General features: G+C 42.5%; 1 protein-coding gene across 7 annotated transcripts in view, besides 1 other annotated feature; it reads left to right on the top strand.

Moving 5' to 3' along the window:
• KSR2 (kinase suppressor of ras 2) overlaps positions 1 to 12,615 on the top strand; it is a 515,979-nt gene that overhangs the window by 325,072 nt on the left and 178,292 nt on the right. The window lies entirely within an intron of this gene.
• Positions 3,000 to 3,499: an enhancer, noted in NCBI's record as "H3K27ac hESC enhancer chr12:118078225-118078724 (GRCh37/hg19 assembly coordinates)". NCBI's record gives its function as "activates a minimal SCP1, AML or CMV promoter by ChIP-STARR-seq in naive H9 embryonic stem cells {active_cell/tissue: H9 hESC(naive)}" and the evidence as "EXISTENCE:reporter gene assay evidence [ECO:0000049][PMID:30033119]".

Genomic DNA, 12,615 nt, shown 5'->3' with positions numbered 1-12,615 from the left:
CTTATGGGAGATCTGCAAAGTCAGGCATCGTGCGGTAGTGTTAAGAATAAAATTGTCAAGCCCATACCTAAGATTTAGAGTGAGAGGAGGCTCTGGCGGTTCCTAAATGCTGGTTCTGTGGATCCACTGCATTTGAATCTCTTTCCCATCTTATACCTGCTGATCCCTGTCTCTGAGGCTGGGCCCAGAATCGGGGGGCTATTTAACAAGCACTCATGGAATTAGGATACAGAGACCAGTCTGCAGACCAGGGTTAGGACCTGGTGATGATTTTCACCAACTGCCAACCACCTGAGAAAATAATGGCAATGTAGTGAGTGTTTCCATAAAGTATGTTCGTGCACTTAATAAACAAACTTTTAGTTTAAGATCATATCCTGCATCCTTTTTTGGTGTTAAATGTCTTTTAAAAATGAAATGATGATAATGATAAATGGCTATTTTGTTGTTGTTGTTGTTTTGTTTTGTTTTTGAGATAGAGTCTTGCTCTGTTGCCCAGGCTAGAGTGCAGTGGCACAATCTTGGCTCACTGCAGCCTCCGCTTCCCAGATTCAAGCGATTCTCCTGTCTCACCCTCCCGAGTAGCTAGGACTACAGGCACCCGCCACCATGCCCGGCTAATTTTTGTATTAATATTTCTAGGAGAGATGGGGTTTCACCATGTTGGCCAGGCTGGTCTTGCGCTTCCGGCCTCAAGTGATCTGCCCACCTTGGCCTCCTAAAATGCTGGGACCACAGGTGTGAGTCACCGTGCCCGGCTGATGGTTTCTATTTAGTGTCCTTACTAGGAAAGAAAAGTTGCTAACTCTAGGTAGTCCCCTATTTATTAATTTCATGGGTGCATAAAATCCAAGTCAGAAACCATTTCTCTAGATTGGCATTTTAAAACTTTCTTCTTATTTAGCAATAAAACCTCTCTTCTAAAAGAATCCTGTCTAAAACCTCAGTAGATGAATGAGCAGATAAAAGTGGAATCATTGTGGGTTACATGGAGCCTGGGGGCCTGGTTTCCCATCCCCTGGGTCTCCCCTTCCTTCCATTCCCTAACAACAGTGGCCCCTGAGACACCTCCTCCTTAAAACTCAACTTGGAAACTACTCTCCTAGAAATTTCTTTGAATGTTATAAATGGGAAAATCAAGGCTCTAGAAAGGAAAGTATTTTCCCCAAACTTCTAATTCCTATTTGAGTTCAGTCATCACAAGATCAGCATATCATTGATTAATGAAAAAGGTCCACCCGAACTCCAGTATGGCTTAGAGCCTGGTAAGGTATCAAGGGGCATGGTCTTCTTTGTAACAACCTTTGGGGAAGGTGGAGTCTGAGTCTTCTCCTTTTGTAAATGAGGACAACATGGTCCAGCTAAGTTAAGCAGCTTTCTCAGGGTCAACCAAGAGGGAGGAAAGATTCAGGGACAGGTACGTTTACCTTGAGGTCCAGAGCTCTTTTCTGCTTTTTCTGATGCTGCAAAGTTGGCTCTGGATCCTTGAAGGAAGCCTTGAAAATATATAGAAACTATGGCTTTTCCCCTAGGACAACTTCCAACTCTGTATCTTCAAGAGTCATTCCTCCTTCTGTTCATCCAATCAGAAACATTTTTTGAGTGCTCACCCGCTGTGATGGGCAACGAGGAAACGGATGAATTGATGTCCAAGATCTCCATTCTCATAGAACACCCAGGCTGCTGGGAACACAGATATAAAAGGGCCGATTATGACAATGTTAAGAGCTGCAAAGTGGAAGTTCAGAATGCTACAGAAATCTACAACAGGGGAGCAGCAATGGTGAGGGGACAGGGATGCCTAATCTAGCCGGGGATCAGGGGAGGCTTCCACGAGTGAGTGTCGTTAAACTGCAAGGCTGCAAGGCTGAGTAGGGCCAGCCAGATGATGAACGGGGATGGGATGGAAGTGCATTTAAGGCAGAAGGAATAGCCTCTGCTGAAAGAGCTTGGCAGGTTTCAGGAACACGGAAGATTCTGTGGATGAAGCAGGGGAGAGAGAATGTTAGAGGTGGGACTGGAGAGGTGGGTGGGAGTCAGATCCAGATTTTAGTTTAGTATCCAGGCTTTCATCTCGGACCTGAGGGAAGCTCACAAGCCTTCGCCTCAGGTGCTACTAAACCGTGCTGTTTCTATTCTTCTCTTCAAGGGCAACTTCTGCTACCTGACAGGTAAGTCTGCTATGGGTTAAATTGTGCCCCCCATTAAAAAAGATATGTTGAAGTCCTAACCCCCAATACCTTGGAATGTGACCTTATTTGGAAACGGGGTCCTTGCAGGTATAATTAGGCAAGCTAAGGTGAGGTCATACTGGAGTAGGGCGGGCCTTTAATTCAATGTGACTGATGTCCTTATAAAAAGAAGGAAATTCAGACACAGAGATGCACAGGGAGAAAGGTCATGTGACAACAAAGGCAGAGATTGGGATGACACAGCTGCCAGTCAAGGAATGCCAAGGACAGCTACCAGAAACTAGGAAGAGGCAGGGAAAGATTCTACTAGTGGTCTTAGAGGGGGTGTGGCCCTGATGACACCTTGAAAAATAAAAACTTCTAACCTTGGGAGGCAGAGGCAGGTGGGTCGGCTCTGAGGTCAGGAATTCGAGACCGGCCTGACCAACATAGTGAAACCCTGTCTCTACTAAAAATACAAAAATTAGCTGGGCGTGGTGGCACACGCCTGTAATCCCAGCTACTTGGGAGACTGAGGCAGGAGAATGGCTTGAACCTGAAGGCAGAGGTCGCAGTGAGCCAAGATTGCACCACTGCACTCCAGCCTGGGCAACGGAGTGAGATTCCATCTCAAAACAAAACAAAATAAAACAAAAAAACCTTACAGCTTTCAAAACTGTGAGAGAATGCGTTTCCATTGTTTTAAGCCATCCAGTTTGTGGTACTTTGTTACAGCAGCCTAGGAGACTAACACAGTGTCTATCAGGGGCATGTCTTCAGCCTTGACTCAGCAAGTGGCGTGCTAATGAGTCCGTTTCCCAGTGACTGTATAATCAGTCTGGGAGTAAACTGGGTGCTTTTGGGGGGAAGTGACATGAGCTCTTCTCAGCTGTGAAATTGCTCATCAGTCAATGTGTTCGAGTGATAACCTCACAGATGGCCCCCCAGTGACCATAAAGAGTTACATACTCTTTCCCAAAATGGCCCATTGCTCTGGGCGGCTGTTTGCCATGGAGGGGTATCTGGACGTGCTGTCCACGGGGGCCCAGGGAGGAGGAAGGGGTGGGAGCCAGTTAGACATGACTGTTGCTGCTGCTGCTGCCCAACCTCAAGTGCATGAGTCTGTACTGCCTGCCACACTGTGGGAACACGCTCTTTGGATGAAACTATTTTCCCAGTTAAAAGAGCTTCATCAAGGCTGGGCACGGTGGCTCACACCTGTAATCCCAGCACTTTTGGGAGGCCAAGGCGAGTGGATCACCTGAGGTCAGAAGTTTGAGACCAGCCTGGTCTACATGGTGAAACCCCATCTCTACTGAAAATACAAAATTTAGCCGGGCGTGGTGGCACATGCCTGTAATCCCAGCTACTGGGGAGGCTGAGGTGGGAGAGTCACTTGAACTTGGGAGGTGAAGGTTGCAGTGAGCTGAGATCGCGCCACTGCACTCCAGCCTGAGTGACAGAGCGAGCCTTCAAGGCTGAATAGGGCTCCATCTCAAAAAAAAGAAAAAAAAAGAGCTTCATTGGAACCCCCCATCTGCTTCCTCTTGTCACCCCAGTTTCTGATGTAATAGTAAACTAAGTGAAGCGTGTCTTGATTCAGAAAGGCCACCCGTCAGTTGGCCATGATGGAATGCATATTGAATGGATTCGATACCACCAAGGAGCCGGGCTCTGCCACCCCTTGCTGTGCAATGTTGGCTGGGTTAGTCAACCTCCCTGAGACTCAGTTTCCCCATCAGGAAAATGAGGATTTTTCCACTTCCCCTGCAGCTTTGTGACAAAGCTTAAGCTCTGGAATGCATGACAGAGTGGCTTCTAAGTTGAAGAGTGCTATTCTACTGTCGGGGAGGTGGTGGAGAAGGTTCCTAGCAGCCCAGGCTGGCAGAAGCTGCGGTGAAGCTCCTGATCCATCTGTTTGGAGTTTGTGGTGGGAAATGCCCCTTGATCTTCCTGGTATTGACGGATACATCTGAAGAGGACATTTCTCCCACCATGAGGGAGGGTGCAACAGGAGACATCTCCCACCTCAAGTATTGTTTTGAGTTTTCTCGCTGGCTTTCCCTTTCAGTAAAATATTAAAATAATATAATAATAATAATAATAATAATAATAATACGCTGGGTGCGGTGGCTCATGCCTGTAATCCCAGCACTTTGGGAGGCTGAGGTAGGTGGAGTCCTTGAAGTCAGGAGTTTGAGACCAACTTTGCCAACATAGTGAAACCCCATCTCTACTAAAAATACAAAAATTAGCCGGGCATGGTGGTGCACACCTGTAATCCCAGCTTCTCAGGAGGCTGAGGCACGAGAATTGCTTGAACCTGGGAGACGGAGTTTGCAGTGAGCTGAGATCGCACCACTGCACTCCAGCCTGGGCAACACAGCAAGACTCTGTCTCTAGTAATAATAATAATAATAATGATGATAATAATAATAAACTAGTGTGTCTACATACACACATATGTGTGTATGTGCTTATATGTATATGTTTATAATCTATTAATATGTATACTTTAAAAATAAAATGCAGGGCCAGGACTAGGGTGGGGCTGGGAATAAAGGCTTGCCTTGGATGCAAAATTTAAGAGGTGCCCCAAAGCTCAGATATCAAGATGAAAATATTTTAATACAATATTTTCAAAAACTAAGTGGGCAATGTACGTGAACCAGCTGCCTTTTTTGTAAAATAAAGTTTTATTTGAATGAGGGCCGGGATTAGGGTGTGGCCTGTGAAGCAGTGTCAGGTAGGTGCAGGGCTAAATCCCGTCTTTATGTAAAAGTCTTTATCGATCGTACTTTGTTGGTCATGGAGTTTTGGGGGGCATTCATTTTGATTTTTAAAAAATTATTGCATTAAAATATTTTTATCCTGATACCTGAATTTTTTGGATATCCCCTTAAATTTTGTGCTGGAGGTTTTTCCTCACTTGCCTCATGGTAGTTCCAGCCCTGATAAAATGAACACCTGAGTGCTCAGTCCTGAATTTGAACTTGAGAAATCGAATATCACAAGCTCCTGGAAGCCCCGATGTGCATTTCCTGATTACCTTCCCCTTCCTTTCCTCACAGAGATAGCATCATCCTGAGTTTGTTTGACCAGGTCTCACTTTCCCCTGTGGGAAACCTCACATGTACATGTCCCTAAATAGTATATCTTTTAATTTTGCATAGTTTTGAACTTCATAGAAATGAGATCGTATTTCACATATTCTGCAGCTTTTTTTTTTTTCCCTGAATATTGTTTTTGAGATTCGTTCAGGGCTATGTGAACAGTTCAGTATCTCTGAAATAGGGCTGTGAATTGCACTGTGTGGCACCCCACAGTGGCTGTCTGCCCAGCATGGTGAGGGTGTAGCTGTCATTGCCTGCTCATCCAGGGCCCATGGACGTGGCTCTTCATGTTATTACTTCAGTCGTGTTGTTCATTGTTGATCTTACATGAGTTTAACCGGAATTTAAAAGGACTTCAAAACTATTACACTGTAATTTGGCATTAAAACAAAAAATCACCTATAATATTGTCTATGCAGGAAGACGTGGGAAGAGAGCAGCATAATATATAACAAAATATATCTAAATAAAAAGATTTTAAAATAACACTTAGGCAAAAATGTTAAGTATGAGAAAGCGGTGTGTCCTAGATTCATTGGCAGCCTCTTTTTATCTTAGTGGTTTGTAAATTAGTGATGTACTTCAGTCAATGTCGTGTTAGAGTGGAGGAAATATAGTAACACTTCATTCTATGAATAGGCCACCATTAATGTAAGCATTCCTCTGTTGAAAGACATTTGGATTCTTTCCTGTTTTTTCTGTTTATGTATGTATGTATTTATTTTTTACCTTGAGGCATTCTTGGACATTCTTCTTGCACACTTGAGCATTTAGGACAGTTTTGCAAACTTCTCTGGTGTTACCAGTTACTTAGGCATTTATGTAAAAATAAGACTGAGGCAGGAGAATTGCTTGAACCTGGGAGGTGGAGGTTGCAGTGAGCTGAGATCGTGTCATTGCACTCCAGCCTGGGCAACAGAGCGAGACTCTGTCTCAAAAAAAAAAAAAAAAAAAAAAAACCCAAAACTGACTGCTGGGTCCCATTTCTAGCCTCTTGAATCAGCCTTCCCAGGGACCTGACTGACATTTAGTCATTGATTCAAGTGCCCTTCTTAATTTTTATCAGGAAAAGTGTTGGAAATATCAATCTAGGAAATACTCCTGGAAATAGATCTGCTCAGTCTGAGAGTCTGCACATCTGCAACTGGATGTGATCAGTTTCTCAACCTCAGTGCTATTGACAACTGAGATGGATAATTCTTTGTGGTAGGGGCTACCCTGAGCCTTGCAGGATGTGTAGCAGCATTCTTGGCACCTACCATTACAGGCTGGTAGCACTCTTCCCCTACCATCTACACACATACTTATGAAACCAAAATGTCTCCAGACATTGTCAAATGTGCCCCGAGGTGGGGATGAGTGTCAAAATCACCCCCAGTTGAGAACTACTGGAACAAATGATGTATAATTGGCTGACAAAATTGTTGCATCAATTTATATGCTCACCAGCTTTGTTTAGGTTGCTCCATATCCTTGCTAACTTTCATTTGGCCAGGCTGCTTAAATTTTGTGCCAAGAAGGTGAGGAGATGGTGCCTCAGTTTAATTTCAGTTTGCATTTCCCTAATTGCTGATGAGGTTGAAGGTCTTTTCCCAAGTTTATAGTCTTCTTAGGTTTCATTACCTGTGAAATGTCTCTGTCATTTGCCATTTTTTCCTATTAAATTACCTCTCTTTTTTTTTATTGACTTTTAGAAACTAAAAAAGTATTCTGAATTCTAATGCTTTGGTATATATGTGGCAAATGTCTGCTGGTTTGTAGTGTGCCTTCTTATTTCCTTTATTGGCTCTTTTGATGTATAGGGGTTCTTAACGTTAATGCAGTCAAATGTATCATTTCTTTCCTTTATGGTGTTGACTTTTAAAAAATGTTATTTAACAAATTCTTCTTCCCTGAGGTCATAAACGTATTGTTCTATATATTCTTCTAAAATCTGTGAAGTTTTGCCTTTCACATTTAAGCTCTTAATCAACCTGGAATTGATTTCAGAATATGGTATAAGTTAGGGACCTATTTTTTTTCCAGATGAATAACCAGTTGCCTAGTGGCGTTTATTGAATAACCTTCCTTCCTCTACTCATCTGTCATGTCAACCTGTCATTGATCAGGTGTGTACCTTAACTCAGGACTGTTTCTGTACTCCCTATTCTGTTCTCTTGGGTGTGACTGGTTTGTTATTTCAGTTTTCCTCTTTCATATCTACCTGGATGATCTTAAATGTTTTCTTATTATATATATCCTTACATATATATATATCTCCATATACATATATCCATATATATATATATATATTTGGAGTACATAAGATTTATTTTAATTTTTTTATTTTTTAACTATTTTTCCAACAAACACGGGAGTGCAGATATTTCATTGATATACGGATATTTCCTTTTTTTGTTGTTTTGCTTATATACCCAGCAGTGGAATATTTCTCTCTTCAATGAAATGTGGTATTGTAGAATGGATCTTACAATAGAAAAAGACATTAGTGGAAGATGAGTAAAATCCAAATAAAGTCTAGCATTTAAAAGTAGTAACATACTGGCCAGGTGCCCTGGCTCACGCCTGTCATCCTAGGACTTTGGGAGGCCAAGGCAGGTGAATTACCTGAGGTCAGGAGTTCAAGACCAGCCTGGCCAACATGGAGAAACCCTATCTCTACTAAAAATACAAAAATTAGCCAGGCATGGTGGTGTGTGCCTGTAATCCTAGCTACTCAGGAGGCCGAGGTGGGAGAATCGCTTGAACCTGGGAGGTGGAGGTTGCGGTGAGCTGAGATCGCGCCACTGCACTCTAGGCTGGGTGACAGAGCAAGACTCTGTCTCAAAAAAAAAAAAAAAGTAACATACCAATGTGGTTTCTTTGTTTTGACAGATGTATTGTGGTTATGTAAGAGGTTACATTACAGAAAACTGGGTGAAGGGTATATGAGAACTCTTTTGTACTATCTCTGCAACTTTTCTGTAAATCTGAAAGTATTCCAAAATGTAAACCTTGATTAAAAATATTTATCTCATTAAAAAATTATATTTTCTGTTCTTTATTTCTTAATCCTTAAACCCATCACTTACTTTGGCGTCTTATACTGATCATCTCTTGGGTTTAAACCATGTATCTTAACCTTTCATCTCTTTTGCCTTTCATCTTTTAAATTTTGGCTTCATTGACTGGCAATCTTTGTTATTTTAAATTCCTTTTCTTTTATCTCACTAGTTAGAGGAAAAACAGTTAATGTCTTCTATTTATTGGAATTCTAACTCATTTTTAACTTCTAGGTTATTCATCTCTTTTAGTTTGCTCTTAGTTTTAATCACTTCATAATCACCTACCCTCCCTTTGTTGTTTAAAATATAGGGTGTTTCTTTCCTCTGCCCCTTTATGTCTGTAGTCCATTATTTTTAGTGGTGTTTTTAATAGCAGAAAAAGTCTGGCTGTGGGGAAGACAGGAAAGAGCAAGTCCTTATCATGAATGAGGGGACAGGAGACTTGCTTCCTTCTGCCCCTGAATTTTAGCAGCAAACTCTGAGTTTTCCAGAGAACCTCCATGCTGGGAGACTGGCCGTGGGTTAACCTGCAATTTGCTGTGTGTGGATGTCTGATTGGCTGGAACAGCAGCCTCCACAATACCTTGGGCAGGTCTTGTATGTGGCATTGCCTCCTTGACAATCCAGGGCTCAGGTCTCTGGAGCCATTGCATTTGGGCCTCCCTAACCTCTGCTGGGTGGGCTTAGGCTGGATAACTTCTCTCACATCTCCATCTTTGGGGTGGCCAGAGGGTCTGCCTTCTGGACCCAACTCTGTTTCCCAGGAAGATGAATATGATTTGTCTCAACATTTACATTCTCCCAACCAAGAAAAATATCATCTACTCGGAAGTAACCCTGGTTGATTTCAGATTTCTCAGGACAGGCCAGTCATCTCTGGAGTTCTGAATGCTGAACAGGGCTTGTCTGATGGGATCCAGCCCTGATTCCTGCCTAATGACATTGCTTCCCTGTGGCCGGTTCTCTTAGCCATGCGAGTGTCACCCGAGAGGGCAATTCCTCCTCGCTTGTGTGTGTGAACCTGGGAAAAGGATGACTCCCATAAGGCTTTATCCTGGGGGGCACCTCACTCTAGCCCTTTTTTTGCTTGGAGTGAATTTTCTTCTTGTTTTAATTTTGGTCTGGCAACTGACTGAATTCATGGGTGTTGTCAAAAAGTTTGGTACTTGAGGAGGGCCAGGTAGACTCAGGGGCTTTCAGATTCTACAGAGGATCTGATGCATGCAATGGCTTTTGGAAGTTCCGTCTTGCATATTTTGTCTTTCTCCTTCCATTAGATGAATGACAACTTCAAACCTGTTCAGTGTGTGTAGTTTTCCTCTAAACGAGGCTCCCTCCCTCTCCCTACCTGATCAGAGCTACCTTTCTTTTTGGCTTTTGTGGACAGGGATTTGTTATGGGATAAGCTGTAAGAGGTCAAGGCTGGACCTTGGTTGCTGACTCTTGGATAGAAACTGAACTGCCATTCATTTGATGTATAGTCATGGATCGCCCACCACATGCTAGGGGCTGGGCTAGGCTCTGGGTATGTAAGACAGACACAGCGTCCGCCTTTATGGACTGATTGCCAGATAGGAAATGGGAAAACAAATCATCCAGATAGTTCCAAAATTATGTGAAGCAGAGTCAGGCAGGGCTGCCTGGTCCATATGGCATCAGTTAGAAAAACATACTTCCCTGGACAGCATCACCCCACACTGGGGCATGTCTGGAGGAGCACAGTGCAGGTGAAATTCCACCCCCAATTTGTCTCCCTGTACCGGGTTGAGTAGCATCCTCCCAAAACTTATATCCATGCAGAACCCCAGAGTGTGATTTTATTAACAGAAATAGGGTCTTTGCAGATGCGATGAGTTAGGGTGAGGTCACGATGGATTAAGTGAGCCCTAAACGCAATGACTGATGTCCTTGCAAAAAGACACAGGAAGGAGACCATGTGAGGACAGAGGCAGAGATTGGAGTTATACAGCCACAAGCCAAGGATTGCCAGCAACTATCAGGTGATAGAAGAGAGGCATGGAATTTATCCTTCCTAGGGCCTCTACAAAGAACCAATCCTGTCAACACCTTGATTTCAGACTTCTCTAGAACCGTGAGAGAATAAATATCTGTTGTTTTAAGGCACACGGTTTGTGATTTTCTGTTATAGTAGTTCTGGGACACTGATATTCCCTGACCCAGGAGCCCTTGGGCAAGGCGCAACCCGCACACCTGTTCCTGGTGGCTCTGCTGAGAAGAAGACATTCAAGCTGAGACATGAAGATGAAGGAGGAGCCAGATATGAGAAGAACCAGAAGAAGAGTGTTCTCAGCGGAGAGAAGTGGAACTTCCAGGGACTTGAAGCAGGAAAGAGGTTGGCAATATTTAGAGAATTGAAAGGAAATCCACATCACTGGAGGATAGTGAACATCGTAACTTAAGTAACATTATGAAGGCAGGAGTTGCTGAAAAATGTCTTTTGATAAATCAAATCACTATTTCCAGTAGCCATGCAAAAGGGGTATGCTCCAGCTTTTTAACAATTGTACCTGAATGACTTTATTCCCCCTTGGAATAATTGGATGAAAGCTCTCCTGCAACTAAAAATAGAGCAGTTCATTACAGCACTATTCACAATAGCAAAGACATGGAATCCACCTCAATGCCCATCAGCAGTGGACTGGATACAGAAAATGTGGTACATGTACGCCATGGAACACTACACAGCCATAAAAATGAATGAGATCATGTCCTTTGCAGCAACATGGTTGGAGCTGGAGGCCATTATCCTAAGTGAACGAATGCAGGAACAGAAAACCAAATACCGCATGTTTTCACTTATACTTAAGAGCTAAACATTGAGCACACATGGACACAGAGAAAGGAACAACAGACACCAGGGCCTACTTGAGGGTGGAGGGTGGGAGGAGGGAGAGGATCGAAAAACAGCTTGTCAGGTACTATGCTTATTGCCTGAGTGATGAAATAATCTGTACACCAAACCCCCATGACACGCAATTTACCTGTATAACAAACCTGCACATGTACCCCTGAACCTGAAATCAAAGCTAGAAAAAGGAGTAGGTGGCAGGGCATGGTGGCTCATGCCTGTAATCCCAGCACTTTGGGAGGCCGAGGCAGGTTGATCATGAAGTCAGGAGTTTGAGACCAGCCTGGCCAACAAAGTGAAACCCCGTCTCTACTAAAAATACAAAAAAAATTAGCCAGGCATGGTGGCGGGCACCTGTAATCCCAGCTGCTTGGGAGGCTGAGGCAGGAGAATCACTTGAACCTGGGAGGTGGAGGTTGCAGTGAACCAAGATTGCGCCACTGCACTCCAACCCAGGTGACAGTGTGAGATATCATCTCAAAAAAAAAAAAAAAAAAAAAAAAGGAGTAGGACTAGAGCCATAAGCATTCTCTTACAGCCTGTCATATAAAGGACTCAATACTGGTTTAATGAAGTTGTTGAATAATGTAGTTTACTGCTGTAAATTGAGAATGGTCTTAATAGACAACTAGCCTCTCCTATTAATAATTCTAGCCAAAATTAAATGTTCCTGGACAGCTATGAAAAAATAGTCAGAATTTTGGCAGATGACTTCCTATATTTCTGACTTTTAGTTAATGGTCTTTTGTACTGTATTACTCCATCCTGATACCAGTAATATATTTGCAACTAGTTTATTTTTGTGGGTATACCAGGAACTTGTTGCTGCTCAAAATAAATGTTTTATGGGGACTCTATGCTTTGCAATTTTGTTTAATGAATGATAATAACAGCTCACATATTGCATACTGCTTTTGGTTTAAAAGTACTTTTTGTGTATTATTTCATTTGATAAATAATGGTAATTATCCCTGCTTTACCCTCAAGTCACTCGATTCTTCCTATTGATCAGTACATGACAAACACTGGGGTTTCATTTGGATTCTGGTTGTTAATGAACTCTTGGTATGCTTGAAAAGGAACCAACTAAAGATTATCTAGCTATATTATCATAATATTTAGCATATTGGAATATTGATGAAGAAAAATAATTAGGCATGAAAAATGTAGATAAAAGTCAAGATTGTTTCTCTGATGGAGAAATAAAAGACCTAGATTTATGATAATCACAAAGAAGAATCATGAAATTGTTGTTTAGTCATAAAATAAAAGTCTAAGATATTTTTCAAGCACAGAAGTAGTTACAGGAGGTCAGGCCATCATATAGGCTTGCTGTTTTAAAATTGCATCTCTCTAGCAGCTCCCGACTCAGCCAGGAGTCATTTAATCACTCAACAAATTTTTATTTATTTCTTTAT

This window comes from Homo sapiens, chromosome 12, assembly GCF_000001405.40.
Source record: "Homo sapiens chromosome 12, GRCh38.p14 Primary Assembly".
Classification (NCBI taxonomy): Eukaryota; Metazoa; Chordata; class Mammalia; order Primates; family Hominidae; genus Homo; species Homo sapiens.
The sequence above is the reverse complement of the archived record's forward strand: the minus strand, read 5'-3'. Positions and strand labels throughout refer to the sequence as shown.